The following is a 20,706-nucleotide window of genomic DNA, read 5'->3' as shown; positions in this document are numbered from 1 at the left end:
ATTGTGATCCTAGTTTTCCATTTCTAGTAATGAAGTTAAAGGCTCTGCAGGGAATAAAATAAAAAGCTATAGGCAGATGTGAATCACTAGAATCATAACAATTAGAATTTATTGAGCATTTACTTTTGTCAGGCACTGTTTTACTACTTTACATGAATGAACTCACTTATTCTTTACAATAGTCTCATGAATTGGAAAGCCAAGAGGTCAGCATCCCAGGAGATCTAAAGGAGTCAGTCTAAATAGTCAGTTATATATGTAATTCAAGGAAAAACAAAATGGGCCAAAATACCTATGAGGTTACCTCATCATTCAAAAGACTAAAAAGATTATGCTGCTAAATTAAACCCTATGTATTTAGATTAAAACTAGAGTCCAGGCTGGCATTGTACTATGTATTATATGAGGCTTATAAAAGATTTAGGATGATTTACAACTTCAAAACAGCTTATGTAAAAAAGTACTTGTGAAAGAACCAGAAAACAGTAAAGAAGGTGTCTAATACAGGAGAATAATGCAAACCATCACTACAAAGGATTTCTAAGAAGGCAGGGGACTGAAAGTGTCACAGAGCCAGGATATGAGCATGGCCTTTAAAAAAGGGTGGATAGGGTTTCTGGAATACAACGAAGAAAGTAGGACATGTAGAAGTGCCAAGGAACAGTTTGAAAAGAAGAAAAGTGTGAGAAGAGGGTATAGTAGGGACAAAACAGGCCTGCCCGCATGTATTATCTTTGAGAAGAGAAAGGAAGTAAGTAAGTAGATCAAACTATGAAAGACCTTTAGGTTAAAGAAGTTTACATTTGGGGCAGAGGTCACTGGGAAACGACTATTTTTTTTTAACAAAGTAGTAGTTTAGTAAGGAGCTAGATAATGGTAGTGAGTCAACAGTGATCAATTTAGTAATCTAGGCACAAGGTACCAAGAACTTGGAAGCAGCAGTAGAAAGAGAGAAAGAAATCAATTATTAATCCATATCAAATAAAGTCAAGTTGATTGATTACAGATAAAGAGGAATCAGTGAGCAATAATTACAGAGCATTTAGTGTCTACTCAGTACTTTGTGATGTTTTATATCAATCAAAAACAAGATTTCTGGCAGGTGTGGTGGCTCACACCTGTAATGTCAGTGTTTTCGGAAGCCGAGGTGGGAGAATTGTTTGAGTTCAGGAGATGGAGGCCAGCCTTGCCAATATAGTGAGATCCTGTCTCCACAAAAAAACTTTAAAATTGTGGGTGTGGTGGTACACACTTGCAGCCCTAGCTACTCAGGAGGCTGTGGCAGGAGCCCAGAAGTTCAAGGCTACAGTGAGCTATGATTGTGCCATTGCACTCCAGCCTGGGCAACACAGCAAGACCTTCTCTCAAAAATAAAACAACAAACAAACCAAGATTTCTGTCTTCAAGAAGTGTATAATCTAGTTGCACTACCTCAAGTTTTATAACTTGATAAAATGAGATAATTCTGGCCTAACCCTTGCCCCAAATCACAGAGCTGATCATTGACAATCAAAGAAATGCTGAGAGGTAGGAAAAGTGTAGATCAGCACAGAATCATGGATCCTGAAAGAAGCTCAAGATTTAAGGCATAACAGTGGCAAAAAGTGCCAATTCTGCAAATGTCAAGTAGAAAAAGGACTGAGAAATAGGCACTGGGTTTGTCCTTGAGAGATCAATCTTCCAAGATTGGTGAGGGTCAAAGCCACAGAATATAAGTTTCATGAAATCTGTAAATGAAAGAAAATTAAAAACAAACAAAAAAAACAGCACAGCATTTGGCAACTTTTTTTCCCAAGATCATGGAGGAACGTCTCCAAGATTTTTAGAACATTCTTGGTAAAAATATGATAAAATAACACTAGGATTAGTTAGGCGTTAGTAAAAAAATGAGTTGTACTTTGAGGAAAAATGCTACTGCAAAAAAGGTGAGAGAAGGAGGAAGATGAGAAAAATCTGTTTTTGCAAGTCAAGAGAATGAATTTGCCTCAACACTATTATCCCCAGACTGGTGAGAAGTTTTCAGTCCTGCTCTGAAGCCAGATCCCTCTCTTCTGGTACTAGAGCCAGCAAGTATGAAGACACACACACAGGATTTTCTCTTCATGTGCAGGGGCTGATGTGGTTAGAAAACAGAGGAGAACCTGGTGGTTCGGGGACCCACGCTTGAAGGAATAGATTAGCAGAGAAACTACAAGGTGTCAGATAGCTTTATACTCTAAAGTTGGAGCCCTTCAGAATATTAGATTTCATATGTTATGTTTTTTGAGTCATCCCTTTGTTTTATTGTGAACTTATTTGAGAAAAGAGAAAGAAAGAACAGGGAGAGGGAGAAAAAGTAGGAAGGAGGGAAGGAGGGAAGAAGGGAGGGGAGACGAAAGAAGGATAGATGGATGGAAAGAACGAATGAAAGCTTAAAACGGGTATAGGTATCTAATAAAAGAAAATTAGAACAAGTATATATATACTTGAAATATATATATTTCAGTGGTGGGAGGTTAGGTATATGTGTTCTTATGCTAACATTAATAAAAGCTCAGATATTACTCTTTAGTATGAAGGTGCTGATGTCTGATCAGAGTTGAACTCTGACAGAAGGCTTTTCCACAGTCATTACATTTGTACGGCTTCTCCCCGGTATGAGTTCTCTGATGAATAATAAGGGATGAGCTTCGACTGAAGCCCTTTCCACACACTCTACACTCGTGAGGCTTTTCTCCACTGTGGATTCTCTGATGTTCTGTAAGAGACGAGCTTCGACTGAACACTTTCCCACATTCACTGCACTCATAGGGGTTCTCCCCAGTGTGTGTTCTCTGATGTTCAGTAAGCGATGAGATCCAACTGAAAGCTTTTCCACATTTACTGCATTCATAGGGATTCTCTCCAGTGTGTATTCGTTGATGCTGAATTATGGTTGAACGGTCACCGAAGGCTTTCCCACATTCATTACATTTGTAAGGCCTTTCTTGAGTATGAGTTCGCTGATGCTGACTAAGGTTAGTGCTTCGGCTAAAGGCTTTTCCACATTCACTACATTCATATGGTTTTTCTCCAGTATGGATTCTCTGATGTAGACTAAGATGTGTGCTCCGGCTAAAAGCTTTTCCACATTCATTGCATTCATAAGGTTTCTCTCCAGTGTGAGTTCTTTGATGTTCAATAAGGTGTGTACTTCGGCTGAAAGATTTCCCACATTTGTTGCATTCAAAAGGCTTTTCTCCACCATGAATTCTACTGTGTACAAGAAGGTCTGATTGGTAACTAAAGGCTTTTTCACATTCATTGCATTTACAAGGTTTTCTTTGTGAGAAAAGTCTTTGGTGTTTAATTAAGTCTGAATTATCTTTGGAGTTTTTCCTAGATATTGGGGATCCATGTCCCTTTGGAATTTTCTGTTGTGCGTCAAGGTTTGGGCTTAGACTAAATTCACTGGATTCAGGGCCTTCCTCCCCTGTGAAAATTTCTTTGAGTGTCACTGACACTTTTCTGACCACTGTGTTCTCAAAAGAGGATTTCTTCTGTGCAGGACATTTTGTTTGCCTTGATAATTGGCCTTCGTTTTTATAGTCTTCTTCATTTGTAGGACCCTGAGCAGTATTCCCTCTGAGGCTTTCCATTGCTGACCCAGAAAACTCTAGTTCTTCGGAAACAGTCTGATTGGTGTTGATGCTTTGGTTCAGCTCAAATCCCCCTATCTGAAAGACATTTAAAGTGTAAATGTCATCTGTATCTACTATGGAGAGCAAAGAAAATAAACCAGCAGAGAAAAGACAACTAATTTGAATTCATGCATACTAGCAACTTTATATGAGGAGTAAACAAAAAAGGATAGTGGAGGAGAACAAAGCCAGAAGAGATAACAGGCAGAATTTTTGCAGTGGGCATGGTGAACACAGAGACATCAAGAAATAGGGAAAGAGTTATTGGGTAATATGCTAACCCAAACAAATGGAAATGAGCAGGTGTACCAGCTGATGACAGAGAGTTGGGGATTAAAAGGTAAAATGACCTATTATGGTAGTTGATTAATCATGGAAAATGAGAGCAAGGAGAAGGATGAGAAGAATCAAGACTCTCAAGTGTAGAAAAAAGAAATGGAAAAAAGAAAGATGACTTGATCAAGTTTGAATGCAACCATTTTCCTGGGATTGAAAGAGAATAAAAATTTCAGAAATAGTAACGACCACACTGCTATCCCCATTTGCCTCTCAACCCTTCTTCCAATTATTATACTTCAGGTATTCTTCTAAAGAAGTCTACAGTCCTAGACTATCAGAGATTTAGCAGAACTTAGACATCATCTAGGCCAACCCACTCATCTGACAGATAGAAAACAGATTGAGTCACTTGCCTACATGACCCAACAAATTGCAAGGGCTTGGACTAGATCTCATCTTCTCAACATCAAATTGCTGGTCTTCTTATGACACTACTCACCAAGACAGGTATTTCTGGGCACTGCCCTCTTCAGCTTCCTGAAGATCCAACATCTACTATTATTCTTCCTTCAACTGGGTGATCAAGTTCAATTAACATGCTGGGGTTCCTGCAGATTAGAAATGATTTAACACAAGGCTGCTGGTGCTGAAGACACAGAGCTATTCAGAGCTCAATCTCAGTGTTTTTATCTATAGAAAAGGTAGCGTGAGCTTTCACAGGGTCTATGGCAGGAGGGGCTGGAGAAAATGAGTCTCTAAAAGGGACTAAAATTAGATGCCAAAAGACGGGTTACATACACACACACAGGTTACATACATACACACATACACATCAGAATTACTTATGACACTTGTTACTCCAGATATCTGAACCTTGCTTTGGACCCAGCAAGTCTGATGGGACCCAGGCATTTGTATTTTAATACGTTCATGTGACTTGACAAGTTGAATGTCCAGAAAGAGCCTTAGAAATACAGTCTAGGTTGCTTGAACAAAGTGCTAACTTGGACTATCTTCTGACCCCTAACATTCTTCTCACAGCAGGCGGGTATAAAACAGAAACTCAGCTTTCCATAGGACAGGAGGCCCCTTCTCTCTACAGAGGGGCTGAAACTTACCAAAGATCTCAAGCTTCCCAGGTACTAGACAGCTAGCTTTCCCAGATGACTCTTGTTTTGTTTTGTTTTTTTTGAGATGGAGTCTCGCTCTGTTGCCCAGGCTCGAGTGCAATGGCGCGATCTCGGCTCACTGCAAGCTCCGCCTCCCGGGTTCACACCATTCTCCTGCCTCAGCCTCCCGAGTAGCTGGGACTACAGGTGCTCGCCACCACACCCCGGCTAGTTTTTTGTATTTTTAGTAGAGACGGGGTTTCACTGTGTTAGCCAGGATGGTCTCGATCTCCTGACCTCGTGATCCACCCGCCCCAGCTTCCCAAAGTGCTGGGATTACAGGCGTGAGCCACTGCGCCTGGCCAACTCTTGTTTAAAAAGCAAACACCTCACATTCATATTGCCTGGCACCAAGTAGTGTGTTTATGTCCACACTGACAATGTTGTTTTTCACTTGTATTATAAGAAGGGAGAGCAACAGGGCAGCAAGGACCTCTCCTGGAACACCAACCTATCAGAGTGTCCAGCAGAGTACCCTGGCTCCAGCAGCCTTTGTCAGGAAAATAGGAAGATCTGGGAACCTGTGCCTTTTCTTCTTGCCCATCCCTGGACTCTAAATTTCCTCATTAAAGCTTGTTTAACCCCTCCTCTTGTTAATTCACTTGGAGTCCTTGTGTATTAAAGGAGGCAATGAACTGTATAACAGTTCCCCAAATATTTCTGCTCACAGCATAATTTGATATCCATGAGATTAGGGAGTTAATCTGGCTTCATAAAAATCTTTCCTTTCTCATAGACTGGGACCTCTCAGATGTGGAGGTTAGCCTTGGAGGATATGTGCCAAGAAGCCATGCATGGAGAACCTCAAGTAACAGGATGATGCTGTCTGTGTTCAGCTTTGCCAAGAACATGGCTTTCAACTGAAAACAGGGAAGATAAAAAGCCCTGCTACTGGGTTGATGCAGGAGTCAGAATTTCTTATTGTAGAATCTCAAATTAAGATCCAATTGCTGGAGGGCGCAGTGGCTCATGCCTGTAATCCCAACACTCTGGGAGGCTGAGGCGGGTGGATCAGTTGAGGTCAGGAGTTTGAGACCAGCCTGGCCAACATGGTGAAACCCCATCTCTACTAAAAATACAAAAATTAGTTGGGCATGGTGGTGCATGCCTGTAATCCCAGCTACTTGGGGGGGTGAGGCTGGAGAATTGCTTGAACCTGGGATGCAGAGGTTGCAGTGAGCCGAGATCGCACCGCTGCACTCCAGCCTGGGCAACAGAGTGAGATTCCGTCTCACACAAAAAAAGATCCAATTGCATACTTTATGATGCCAACATTCCTTAATAGGAATTGGCCTTACTGCTACCTTGGCTGGCTTCCATTCTTGTAGCTCAGATCCTTAAGCTCCTCCATTGTTATTTGATATGGTTTAGATATTTGTTCCCTCCAAATCTCATGCTGAAATGTGATTCCTCCCCAGCCTCCCCTGAAAAAAAGAAAAAAATGTGATTCCCAATGTTGGAAGTGGGGCCTGGTGGGAGATGGTTGGATCATGGGGGCAGTTTCCTCCTGATTGGTTTAGCAGCATCCTCTTGGTGATAAGTGAGTTCTTCCTCAGTTAGTTCATGTGAGATTTAGTTGCTTAAAAGTTTGGGACCTCCCCTCCCTTGCTGTCTCTTGCCCCTGCTCTTACCATGTGACATGCTTGCTCCCCCTTTACCTTCCACCATAATTGGAAAGTTCCTGAGGCCCTCACCAGAAGCAGATGCTGGAGAAATGCTTGCACAGCCTGCAGAACTGTGAGCCAATTAAATCTATTTTCTCTATAAATTACCTAGTCTCAGGTATTTCATTTCCATAGCAATGCAAGAATGGCCTAACACATTATTTTATTGTCAGTTCACTATAACCTCTCTCTTTTATTACAGTGCTCCTCAAGATGGCATCCTAGGGAGACTCTGGAGAATTTGTGAGGTTATTTTGGGTTGTCACAATGATTGGATAGTACTATTAGAATTTAATGGGGGCCAGGGATGATAGACATTCCTGCAGAACAAAGAACTGTCATTTATCCTACCTGACTTTCAAAAAAGTTGTTAATAATTACCTGAAACTAAAACCTAGTAACACTTTATGCATACATACAAAGTATTTTGCATAGCTTTTATATGTATTGGAAAATCAAGGAAATATACATTTTTTTTCTTTCTTTTTTTGAGACAGGGTCTCACTCTATCACCCAGGCTGGAGTGCAGCGGTACAATTACAGTTCACTGCAGCCTTGACCTCTCCAGGCTCAGGTGATCCTCTGACTTCAGCCTCCTAAGTAGCTGGGACTACAGGCACACACCACCATGTATGGCTAACTTTTAATTTTTTTTGTAGAGATGGGGTTTCACCAGGTTGCCCAGGCTGGCATCAAACTCTTGGGCTCAAGTGACCTGCCCACCTCAGCCTCCTAAAGCGCTGGGATTACAGGCATGAGCCACCACGTCCAGCCAAAATATACATTTTTTTGTTTCAATGTTATTAGGAATTTTTCACCATTTCAGGGAAATAAAACCACTTATGGTATTAGATTCACAAATATAATTCATAAATCAGGCTGCATTTGTAGTTGTATTCAGTGATTCTAATAGGTGTAAGCATCTATTTCATCCAGTCATTTACATGCTGAAATGCATATTATTCGATTATAAATCACTTTCCTTTTCCTTCTCCTTCATATTATAGTTAAGGTAACATATTGATACTTTTGAAATTATTTCATAGGTAGGTAGGTAGTATTATCTATGAATTTTATTTCAGAATAGTAAAGGGAATAGTAGGTCTGAAGGGTAGAGAAATACTTCTCTAGTGCAGTGGAACTAAAATATTGACAATTACATGACAGATGAATACTGCATCTCCCAGTAGGTAAGTTACAAAGCCTCTAAAGCTACTAAAGCAAAAGTTCTTGTCCCCAACAGAAGTCTCTGAAGATTTGAGAATACCCATACTGCCATAAGGTAATATGAGAACTAATGGGAATGTTGTACTTAGTGGAATATTATTACATTATTAAATACTATATCCCATTCTGGAGAAGAGAGATTGTTAGGAAATATTTAGTTTTTGGAGGCATTATGAAACCAAGGAGATCCAAAATTTGAAGATTTTTGCAACTTGTCTCACTAGAAGAACCCTGAAATATAGGATATCTAAAAGTAGGCAGAATATCCTGACAAGAGAAAGAACTATGACAGAGTTCTTGGATATGGCCAATTTGAAGTTCACTCTCATGCTTATTAATATTTTAATGATTGTTAAACTGTGCCAATTTGATATGAGATTATCTATAATCAACTAATGTGTATATACTATGTATTAGGCTGTTCTTGCATTACTATAAAGAAATACCTGAGGATGGGTAATTTATAAAGAAGTTTAATTCGCTCACGGTTCTGCAGGCTGTAAAAGCATGGTGTTGGCATCTTCTCAGCTTCTGGTGAGCCTTCAGGGAGGTTTTACTCACAACGGAAGGTGAAAGGGGAGCAGGCATATCACATAGGGAAAGCAGGAGCAAGGCAGGCAGGGAGATGACACGCTTTTACACAACAGATCTCATGAGAACTCACTCATTATTGCAAGGACAGCACCAAGCCACGAGGGATCTACCTCCACCATCCAATCACCTCCCATCAGGCTTCACCTCCAACATTGGTGATTACAATTCAACATGAGATTTGATGGGGACATATACTCAAACCATATCATTCTGCTCCTGGCCCCCAAGTCTCAAGTCCTCACATTGCAAAATACAATCAGTATTTTTAGGGGACTGCTCAATAGTCCCCTAAAGTCTTACATCATTCTGGCATTAACTCAAAAGTCCCAAGTCCAAGTCCAAAGTCTCATCTGGAGATGAATTTCTTCCACCTATGAACCTGTAAATCACAATTTATTTACTTCCAAGATACAATGGAGGTGCAGGCATTGGGTAAACACTCCCATTGTAAAAGGGAGAAATCAGCCAAAAGAAAGGGGCTATAGGCTCCATTCAAGCTTGAAATGCAGCAAGGCAGTCATTAAATCTTAAAGCTCCAAAATAAGCTCCTATATGTCCCACATCTAGGGCACAATGATGCAAGGGGTGGGTTCCCAAGGCCTTGGGCAGTTCCACTTCTGTGGCTTTGCAGAGTTCAGCCCCATGCTGCTCTCCCAGGTTGTTGAATGCCTGTGGCTTTTCCAAGCACAGAGTCTAAGCTGCTGGTGGATCTGCCATTTTGGGGTCTGGATGGTGGCCCCCTTCCTACAGCTCCACTAGGCAGTGCCCCAGTGGGGACCCTGTGTGGGGCCTCCAACTCCACATTTCCCCTCTGGACTGCCCTAGTAGAGGTTCTCTAAAGGGGCTTCTGCCCCTTACAGCAGGCTTCTGCCTGGACACCCAGGCCTTCTCATACATCCTCTTAACTCTAGGCAGAGGCTTCCAAGCCTCCTTCACTCTTGCACTGTGCATATCCACAGGCTTAACACCACATGGAAGCCACCAAGGCTTACAGCTTCTACCCTCCACAGCAGCAGCCTGAGCTGTACCTGGGCCCATTGGAACCATGGCTGGAGCCTGAGCAACCAGGATTTAGGAGCAGCCTCCTGGAGTGGTGCAGGGCAGTGGGACCCAGGATCTGGCTCTGAAATCCTTAAGTCCTCCTGGGCCTCTCAGCCTATGATGGGAGGCATCGCCTCTTAGATTTCTGAAATGCCTTTGAGGCCTTTTTCCTATTTTCTTGACTATTAGCACTTGGCTCATTTTTAGTTATGCAACTCTCTATAGCAAGTGGTTGCTCCATGGCCTGCTTGAATTTCTCTGCTGAAAAAGCTTTTTTTTTCTTTCCTCTGCAAATTTTCCAAACTTTTATGCTCTGCTTCCCCTTTAAATATAACTTCCAACTTTAAATCATTTCTTTGCTTCTACATCTGAGGACAGATAGACTGTTAGAAAGAGCCAGGCTACATCTTCCTTTGCTGCTTAAAAATTTCTTCTGCCAGATACCCTAAATCAACACTCTGAAGTGCAAACTTCCACAGATCCCTAGGGCAGGGGCACAAGGCAACCAAGTTCTTTGCTAAGGCATAACACACATGACCTTTGCTTTAGTTCCCAATAAGTTCCTCATTGCCATCTGAGACTTTGTCAGCCTGGACTTCACTGTCCATATCACTATCAGCATTTTTGTCACAAACATTTAACCAGTCTCTAAGAAATTCTAAACTTTCCCTCATCTTCCCATCTTCTGAGCCCTCCAAACTCTTCCACCCTCTGCCTGTTACCCAGTTCCAAAGTTCCTTTCACATTTTTAAGTATCTTTATAGCCAAGCCAGCTCCTCAGTACCAATTTGCTGTATTAGGCCATTCTTGCATTGCTATAAAGAAATACTTGAGGCTGGGTAATTTATAAAGAAAATAGGTTTAACTGGCTCACAGTTCTTCAGGCTGTACAACCATGGTGATGGCATCTGCTCAGCTTCTGGGGAGGCCTCAGGGAGCTTTTACTCATGGTGGAAGGCAAAGGGGGATTAGGCACATCACATGGCAAAAGCAGGAGAAGAGGTGGAGAGGTACCACACACTTTTACACAACCAGATCTCATGAGAACTTATGCATTATCACAAGAACAGCACCAAGCTCTGAGGTATCAATCTGTAAGATCCAATCACCTCATTGTCAGGGTTACAATACAACTTGAGATTTGGTGGAGACACATATTCAAGCCATATCATACTGTACAGTGCAAGAGTCTCAAAGTGTAGTTGTTTTTTCATTTCAAATAAGCTCATTATATATACAACTGTATTATGCATTAGATGTGTTTGTGCATGTGACACATATGATAGACACATACAAACTCCACTAGGGAAACTTTCTACCTAGAAAAAATGAAAAAAGAACTTGTGAAAGGAATCTAACTTGGAAGTAGTCTCCAGAAATGGTCTTTCTTTGGGCCTGCCTATTCTAAGAATTGTATGAATATTGACTCATTTATTGTTCACAATAACTCTGAGGGGAATTATTATTATTCCTGCAATACAAAAAAATAGTGTGAAGTACAGAGAAGTTAAGTAATTTGGCACAAGGCCAAGTAATAAATCCTAGATTCAAACTCATTATACTATACAGTATGTGTTGCTTCTCAACAGACAGGGAAAGAATGCCTGAATCACACTTTCTGTTTAGCGGCCTGTAAATGGCCAAGAAACTAAACTCCACTGATGTCAGAAGGTTATCAGCATGATCTTGACTTCAGAGTGCTGTAGGGGTATAGAGAGTGACTGCCTCCCAGACCCAGTCCCTGAAAGGCTGCAGTAAATCTCAGCCTCACTAACAGCCCTATCTATGTAACCGATGGAGTAAAGTCTCTGGCTTTGGCTCATACCTATAATCCCAGCACTTTGGGAGGCCGAGGTAGGCAGATCACCTGAGGTCAGGAGTTCGAGACTAGCCCAACATGGTGAAACCCCATCTCTAATACAAATATAAAAATTAGCCAGTCATGGTGGCACACACCTGTAGTGCCAGATACTCAGGAGGCTGAGGCAGAAGAATTGCTTGAACCTGGGAGGTAGAGGTTGCAGTGAGCCAAGACTGTACCACTGCACTCTGGCCTGGGCGACAGAGCAAGACTCCATCATCTCAAAAAAAATAAAATCAATAAAGTCTCTGGCCTCCACTGAAGTGCAAGTGGCATCCTCAGCACAATTCAGGGAAACATCAGATAGAGGCCCAGAGCTATAGGCACTGACTAGGTAATCTGGATTTTGGTTATAGCTCCATTGGTAGCTATATAGAAACCAGGGAAAAATAAACAATCTGGTTTTATGTCTCCTCACCTGCAAAATGAAGATGCTGGACTTGATTGGTCCAAAGCTATCGGATACCTAGTAGTTTAACTTTAGATCCCAAACTTTGAGGCACATAGCCATCTGCTTAGACTAAGGGGAGAGAACTAGAATGAATCTACTCTTTTTCAAATCCTCGGAGACATGTAAGATCTCAAGGTCCGTGTTTCAGATGAAACCATTCAAGAAATAGGCCAAAAAAAAGCCTGTGTTCATTAATCATCTAATGATGAATTAGAGTGAGGGAGTGTTGAAGATATTAAGGACAGTCAACAGGCAAATGAAGAATAGTCCCCTTGGCAAAATTTGGCAGACTCATCTAAGAACGGAAGTTCCTTTAAAAGAGAAATAAATGTGTCTCTGGTTGGTATGATGAAACACACGTTCAGAAAAGAGGGAAGAATACTTAACTCATGTGGAATATGGATCTTATGGAGAGGTAGACAGTTGCCTTTCCATCTTCTGCCTCCTCTTGGTTTTATTTTTAATGAAAGGCAGAAATGGGCAAAGGTCATAGTCCAAGGCATCCAGAACCTCTGTCTAGTAATGTCCACATCTAGCCTGTTGAATGCAACCCTAAGGATTAAGAAGTAATGATTGGGAGGCCAAGACAGGTGGATCACCTGAGGTCAGGATTTCAAGACCAGCCTGGCCAACATGGGGAAACCCTGTCTCAACTAAAAATACAAAAAAATTAGCTGGGCGTGGTGGTGGGCACCTGTAATCCCAGCTACTTCAGGAGGCTGAGGCAGGAGAATCGCTTGAACCCAGCAGGCGGAGGTTGCAGTGAGCCAAGATAGTACCATTGCACTCCAGCCTGAGCGACAAGAGCGAAACTCTGTCTCAAAAAAAAAAAAAAAAAAAAGTACAATGAATGCCCCAAAGTAATCCCATCTCCTCTCAGATATAAAGAAAATGACAATGGACAGTTATGTCTGGGTTTCAAGTTCATCTTTTATGATAAAAGACAGATCTGAGCCAATTCCAAACTTTCTCTAAACCCTTTAGGTGATCCAGCCTCTTTGACGTTCTCTTCATATGGGGTATGAGTTCAAAGACACTATGGCACTAGTCCCCTTACTTCTTCCTGAGGGTCAAAATAGAAGACAGATGACACTGCTTACAGCTGCACTTCCTTGGTCAAGTCACTTTTCTGAAAAATCTCGTCCCACATTATAAAACACCATTACTAGCATGTGCTTGTCTTTTCTTACAAAACTTTCATCAATACTGCAAGTTAAACTATGGCAAAACATTTACAATAAAGAATATCATATATAGTATAAGGGAGATGATGCTATTGCTGTGCTCATCTCACATCAATGAATTTGAAAACTGTGATGGTGTATGTTTAAGGAAAGATGCTGTCAGAGGATTTATGAGTCTCCCTTCAGCAGCTGCTGCTCTAGAGCATGGAGAGATGCATTCTTTTTCCTGGCTTTGGAGGATGTATGTAAGATGGGAAAAGGAAGTCTAGCGGATGTGACAAAAGTTTCAGGGATAGCCCCCAAACATATTTCAGAGATGCTAGGAGGTTAGGGCTATACCTTTATCCAGAGTCCATCCAAGGGATTCCTCCACCATAATGTGGAAAGTTGCCTCTCCTTTTCTCCTTTCTTCCTCATACTTTCATTATTTGAGTCACCTTACTGCTCTCTGGATACTGTATCCCTACAAAATCATTATTCTCTTAAGTGGTCACAACATGCTGCAGCCCTAGCCAACCTGGTGGTTTGCTATTCCTTTATGTGACTCAAACTTTTTAGCACTAACAGCGCTGGCCACCACAGTTACCCTAATTATCTAAAATTCTTTTGACATTGCTTGTCTCTCCTATAATCAATTCCTGATCCAGGGATAATTCTCCTTTATTTTCTACCCCCTTCAGAAGGAAGAAGGTTTTGAAGGGTCAGGAATAGGGCTTCTCTGGGTGCTTTGTTTTGTGGCACTAGGTTGATTGCTTCCTGGAGCCTTTGCCAATCCACAAAGCAATCAGCAGAACTGCCTGGGCAGCCTCAGTTTAATCACAGAATAGAGAAAATCTTGTCCTACCAAAGGTGATCTTCAGGTAACAATGTTCCCAGATATTGGCTCAAAGCACAAACTCACACATAAAGCACAAACTCAATGATCCACAGTAACTGTCAATACACCCACAACAAATAATTAACAACTACTTTATTCAAGTACCAACCTTCATCATCAGAAACATAAACTAAGGACTGGCACTCAAGCAAGTACTTCTCTTTTTTGGGGGGGAGGGGCGCGGAGTTTCACTCTTGTTGCCTACGCTGGAGTGCAGTGGCGTGGTCTCTGCTCGCTCCAACCTCTGCCTCCCGGGTACAAGTGATTCTCCTGCCTCAGCCTCCCGAGTAGCAGGGATTACAGGCGCGCGCCACCACTCCCACCTAATTTTTGTATTTTTAGTAGAGAACGGGTTTCACCGTATTGGCCAGGCTGGTCTCGACCTCAGGTGATCCGCCCGCCTTGGCCTCCCAAAGTGCTGGGATTACAGGCGTGAGCCACTGCGCCCGGCCAAGCAAGTACTTCATCTCTGTGTGCCTCAATTTCCTTATCTGTAACATGGGCATAATAATAGTACATTACTTCATAGGGTTGATGCAAGGATTAAATGAGTTAATGCAGGTAAAAACTCTTGGAGCAGTGCCTGCACTCAGTAAGCACCTGGGAAACACCCCAGTACCGAAGACCTCCCTCGCCCAGCTAGAGGGGAAGCAGGGAGCAACCCTGCTCTTTTTCATCTCCCAGGGATACACCCGGGGAAAACCACTGGCTGTCACTGCCGCAGAGGGACTAGGCTGGCCCGCCAGTGAGACGAGCGCTGGGGGCTTCATGACCCCACGCCACGCGGCGTCCCAACCGTGGAGGTGCCTCCTGACCCGACCTGCAGCCAAACCACACGCGACCCTTTCGCCCGTTTCCTTCGAAGAACCCGTGTTTCCGCTTTCCAGAACCTCTAAGAGCACCCACCTTGGTCCCGGGGCCCTGTAAGCCTCACTCACCGGCCGCCTCCGGCCGAGTACCCCCGACACACCCCGGGCGGGTCCCGCACTTGGAGCGGAACCTGAGTGCGCTGGGCTTGGGGAAGTCGGAAGGATTAAAGAGAAACCCATGCGTCGAACCGCTGCTCCAACGCCCATCAGGTTCCCTAAGATCACAGGCACTCTTCCACTCAGACTGCTGCTGATCATGCTCTGCTCGGTATGCGGGACCAGTCATTGTCTGGGCAGTCGCCTGGACCTAAGTCTCCTGACGCGGACGACCAGTTGCAAAACAGAGACCACACTGAGACTGAGCAACGTATCAGCAGCGGTCGCAGCTCTGCGCTTGCGCCTGAGAGCCAGCTACAGCAGGGCTGTGCTGGGATTCACTTTCGTGGAAGGTTTTGCAAAGCCCCTCCCCTGGTATGCGAGAGGCTGAGAGGTTGGCGCTAGAGGCAAGAGGAAGGGGGTCTGCGAGAGGTGCCGAAGACCACCTTAATACACTGCAAAGTATAGCCTAGACCGGTGGTTCACAGAGTTTTAAATAGCGTACACAAATAAATCACCAAGTGAGCTTGTTAAAATACAGCTTCACAAGATTTACACTCCGAGATTGACTCGTTGGCCCGGAACATTGCATTTTCAAGGGGCACCCCAGATGATTCTGATGCAAGTGGTCTCTCCAGCCTGTCTGGAGAAACTGGCTCCGTTGCACAATCTAGTTGCTTAAATACTGTTAAATGCAAGACATGTCTCAAATTTCACCAAAAGAAAAAAATGAATAAAATCAGGACACTACCCTAATCTAGTAGATTTTTTAAAATTCCAGATAATTTTAATATAAGGTAATGAAGTTGCACAATGTGCCCTGGGAGTTCAGAGCAGGGGAAACTTATGGAACGAGGGACACTGGAGTGGTTTGACTAATGGAAGATTTAATGGAAAACATAAAGGAGGGCAACCTTACAAATAGTTGAGGAACTAGAAGAGTGGAAAGCATGTGCAAAACTGCAGGTCTGATACATGACAGCTGTGCACAAGTACCATAGAAACATCAAGTAAGTATAAAGCATGAGCCATGAAGTACAAAGGAGCAGGATCCAAATTATAAAGCTGGAAAGAATTAGATAAAGTCTAATTTTATCATTTCCTATTTTTAAAAATTAAAAACACTTTCAAACTGTGGTAAACTATGCACAACATTAAAGTTACCATTTTAAAGTCATACAGTAAAGTTTTTAGCGTATTCACAACAGCACCGTCACTATCTAATTCTAGAACATTTTCGTCATCCCTAAAGATGCCCATTGAGCAGTCTCTATTCCCTGCTCCCCACAGTCCCTGGTAACCTTTATTTTACACTATGTTTCTATGAATTTGCCTGTTCTAGATATGCCATATAAGTAAAATAATACAATATTTGTCTATTTATGTCTGGATTATTTTTAATTAGCATAAAGTTTTCAAGGTTCATTCATACTGCAGCATGTATCCTTCATGCCTTTTAATGGCTAAATAATATTCCTTCGTGTATATGTGTGTGTTTATACACAAACAGTGTATAAATATACATACATAATATTTTGTTTATCCATTAATCTCTTGTTGAACACTTGGGTGGTTCCTGCCTTTTGGCCATTGTGAATAATGCTGCTGTGAACATTGGTGTACAAGTATCTGAGTCACTGTTTTCAATTCTTTGGGTATACACCTAGGCATTGAATTGCTATATCATATGGTAACTCTGCAATCAGCTTTCTAGAGGAACCATCAAACTGTTTTCCATAATGGCTGCATCGTTTTACATTCCCATCAGCAGTGCAGGAGGGTTCTAGTTCTCCACATCTTTGCTAACACTTGTTAACTTCTGTTTTGTTGTAGTTGTAGTATTATAACCATCATAATGGGTATAAGCTTTATCTCATTGTGGCTTTAATTTGCATTTCCCTAATGGCTAGTGATGTTGAGCATCTTGTCATGTACTTATTTGTGTGTCTTCTTTGGAGAAATGTCTGTTCAAATCCTTTGCCTATTTTTGAATTAGGTTTTGTTGTGTTGCATGAGTTTTTGTATATTCCAGATATTCTTCTTCAGATATGATTTGCAAATATTTTCTCCCAGTCTGTGAAGTTTTTCTCTCTTTTGATAGTGTCCTTTGATGCATAAAACTTTTTAATTTTGATGAAGCTCCATTTATTTATTTTTATCACCTGTGCAATACTTGAAAATTACATTGTCTAATAAAGATTTTTATGTTTTCTGCTAAGAGTTTTATAGTTTTGCTTCTTAAATTTAGGTCCTTGATCCATTTTGGGTTAATTTTTGTAGATGGTGTAAATACTACAACTTTATTATTTTGCATTTGGATATCCAGTTTTCCCAGCACCATTTGTTGAAAATACTGTCCATTTCCCATTGAATGGTCTTGGCACTTGTTGAAAATCAATCAATCAACCGTATATGTGAGGTTTATTTCTGGGCTCTCTTTTCTATTTTATTGGTCTATATTCCTATTCTTATTCCAGCACCACACTCTTTAGGTTACTGTAGGCTTGTGTAAAGTTTTGAAATTATGAAGTATGTGTCTTTAAACTTTATTCTTTTCTCCAAGGTTTTCATTGGTTATTCAGGGTAATTTGATTTTCCATGTGAATTTTAGGATGGGATTTTCTATTTCTGCAAACAAATGTTGAAATTTTTATAAGGAATACATTGAATCTGTATATCAAATTGTATTATCATCTTATCAGTAGTTAGTCTTCCAACCCATGAACATGGGATGTCTTTCCAATTATTTAGGTCTTCTTTAATTTCTTTAAGCAATTGCAGTATTCAGCATACAGGTCTTTCACTTCCTTGGTTAAATTTATTCCTAGGTATTTTTATGCTATTTCTAATATGTATATATTCATTGCCATAAATTCCCCCTAAGCACTGCTTTCACAGCATTCTATAAATTTTGATAAGTTGTGTTTTCATTTTCATGTAGTTTGAAGTATCTTTTAATTGCTCTTGGCATTTCTTCTTTGACCCATGTATTATTTAGAAGTGTATTGCTTAATCTCCAAGTATGTGGGAGATTTTCCAATGATCTTTCTGTTATTGATTTCTAGTTAACTCTAATGTCATCTGAGATAAATCATTGTATGATTTCTATTCTTTTAAATTTGTTAAGTTATGTTTTACAGCCCAGAACATGGTCTATATTGATTAATGTTCCATGTGAGTTTGAGAAGAAAGAGTATTCTGCTGTTCTTGGATGAAGTCTATAGATGGCCATTATATCTAGTTGATTGATGATGTTGTTGATTTCAACTATATCCTTACTGATTTTCTGCTTCCTGGATCTGCCCATTTCTGATAAAGAATTTTTGAGATTTCTGTGATAGTAGATGCATCTCTTCCTTCTTGAAGTTCTATCAGTTTTTGCCTCATGTATTTTGAAAGTCTGTTTTTAGGTGCATACATATTAAGGATTATGTCTTCTTAGAGAACCCTTTTCTCATTACATAATTCCCTTTTTTATCCCTGATAGCTCTCCTTGCTTTGAAGTCTGCTCTGTCTGAAATTAATGTAGCTACTTCTGCTTTCTTTTGATTAGTGTTAGTATGGTATAACTTTATTGATTTACTTTTAATCTATATGTATCTTTATCTTTAAAGTGAGTTTCTTGTAGACAACATATATTATTTCTTCACAATCTCTGCCTTAAAATGGTGCATTTAGACCACTGATGTTGAAAGTATTATTGATATAGTTGGATTAATATCTACTACGCTTAACTGTTTTCTATTTGTTGCCTTTGTTCTTGTTCTTATTTTTGTCTACCACTTTTTCTGACTTTTTTTGTTTTAATTGAACCCTTTATATGATTTTATTTTTCTTTTTTATTAGCATATTAGTTACACTTCTTTTTTCTAAGTGGTTAATCTAGAGTTTGCAATATATATTTACAACTAATCTGAGTCCACTCTCAAATAACACTATAAAGCTTCATGGGTAGTATGGCAAGTACCTTATAATAAAAAAAATCTTTTTTTTTTTTTTTGAGATGGAGTCTCACTCTTGTTGCCCAGGTTGGAGTGCAGTGGCGCGATCTTGGCTCACTGCAACCTCCACCTCCCGTGTTCAGGCTTCTCCTACCTCAGCCTCCTAAGTAGCTGAGATTACAGGCACCCGCCAACATGCCCGGCTAATTTTTGTACTTTTAGTAGAGATGGGGTTTTGCCATGTTGGCCAGGCTGGTCTCGAACTCCTGACCTCAGGTGGTCTGCCTGCCTCGGCCTCCCAAAGTGCTGGGATTACAGGCATGAGCCACAGCACCTGGCCAATAACAAAATAATTCTAATTTTTTCTTTCTGTTCCTTGGTTCATTGCTGTCACTCATTTTGCACATACAGAAGAATACATAACAGTGTGTGTATATGTAATTGAATATATATATCATTGAGTAAATACATTATTGTTATTATTTTGAGCAAACTTTTAGGTCAATTAAAAATTGGCTGTAGTACATCAACTAACAATAAGAAAAATGCTTTTATTTTACCTTTACTTATTCATTCTCTCTCTCTCTCTCTCTTTTTTTTTTTTTTTTTTTTGAGATAGAGTCTCACTCTGTTGCCCAGGCTGGAGTGCAGTGGTGTGATCTTGGCTCACTGCAACCTTCACTTCCCAGGTTCAAGCAATTCTTGTGCCTCTGCCTCCTGAGTAGCTGGGATTACAGGCATGTACCACCAAACCAGGCTAATTTTTGTATTTTTAGTAGAGACAGGGTTTCACCATGTTGGCCAGGCTGGTCTCGAACTCCTGGCCTCAAGTGATCTGCCCACCTCAGCCTCCCAAAGTGCTGGGATTACAGGCTTGAGCCACCACACCCAGCCCATGTTCTTTATGTATATATATTTCCAAGTTTTAACTTCTGTTATTGTCCTTCTCCCTAAAGAAGTTATATTAACATTTCATGCAAGACAAGTCTACTGGCAACAAATTCCTTAAACTTTTGTTTCTCTGAGAGAGTCTTTATTTTTCCTCAACTTTTGAAGGATGATTTTTCCAGAGTATAGAATTCTAATAGGTGGTTTTTAATCTCTAAACATTTAAATATTTCACTCCACTCTCTTCTTGTTTGCATGGTTTCTGAGAAGTCAGATGTAAATCTTATCTTTACTCCTCTATATATAAGCTGTTTTTTCCCCTGTATGACTTCTTCCAGGATTTTTCTTTAATTTCGATTTTCTGTAGCTTAAAAATGTTATCCCTAGGTGTTCTGGACTAAATGTTTGTGTCTCCCCAAAATTTATAAGTTGAAACCCTACCCCTCAATGTGATATTATTAGGAGATGAGGCCTTTAGGAAGTAACTAGGATTAGATGAGGCCATGTGGGTGGGGCCCTCATTAATAGGATTAGTGCCCTTATAAGAGTCATGAGAGAGCTTATTTCCTTTCTCTGCTCTCCACTATGTGAAGATACAAGAGTTTGGCAGTCTGCAACCCAGAAGAGGGCCCTCACCCAAATCCAAATATGTTGTCACCCTGATCTCAGACTTTCAGAACCCAGAGGTATAAGAAATAAATTTCTTTTGTTAATAAGGCACCTTGTCTATGAGAATTTGTTATAGTGACTCAAATTGACCAAGCCACTAGGTGTAGTTTTTTGGGCATTTATTTTGCTCAGTGTTCTCTAAGCCACTTTGATCTGTGGTTTGATATCTGACATTAATTTGGGAGAATTCTCAGTCATTACTGTTTCAAATATTTTTACTCTTTCTTTATTCCTTCC

At 40.9% G+C, this 20,706-nt stretch overlaps 1 protein-coding gene across 7 annotated transcripts in view; it reads right to left on the bottom strand.

Moving 5' to 3' along the window:
• The window catches only part of ZNF391 (zinc finger protein 391), a 29,294-nt gene continuing 8,667 nt past the window's right edge, over positions 80 to 20,706 (bottom strand). For 2 of the 7 annotated variants that reach the window (XM_006715086.3, XM_011514569.2), the window contains exons 2-3: positions 4,438 to 4,546; positions 80 to 3,695 (exon numbers count right to left, since the gene is read on the bottom strand). In XM_006715086.3, coding sequence (XP_006715149.1) covers positions 2,541 to 3,617 — 1,077 coding nt within the window. In that variant the 5' untranslated portion in view covers positions 3,618 to 3,695; positions 4,438 to 4,546 and the 3' untranslated portion in view covers positions 80 to 2,540. Of the gene's footprint in view, positions 3,696 to 4,437; positions 4,547 to 6,411; positions 6,555 to 8,892; positions 8,972 to 14,912; positions 15,230 to 20,706 lie in introns of those variants that run through there. The other 5 variants (NM_001322289.2, NM_001322288.2, NM_001076781.3 and 2 more) reach the window with 5 other exon arrangements.

This window comes from Homo sapiens, chromosome 6, assembly GCF_000001405.40.
Source record: "Homo sapiens chromosome 6, GRCh38.p14 Primary Assembly".
NCBI lineage: Eukaryota > Metazoa > Chordata > Mammalia > Primates > Hominidae > Homo > Homo sapiens.
This window is presented reverse-complemented; position numbering and strand designations above follow the sequence as displayed.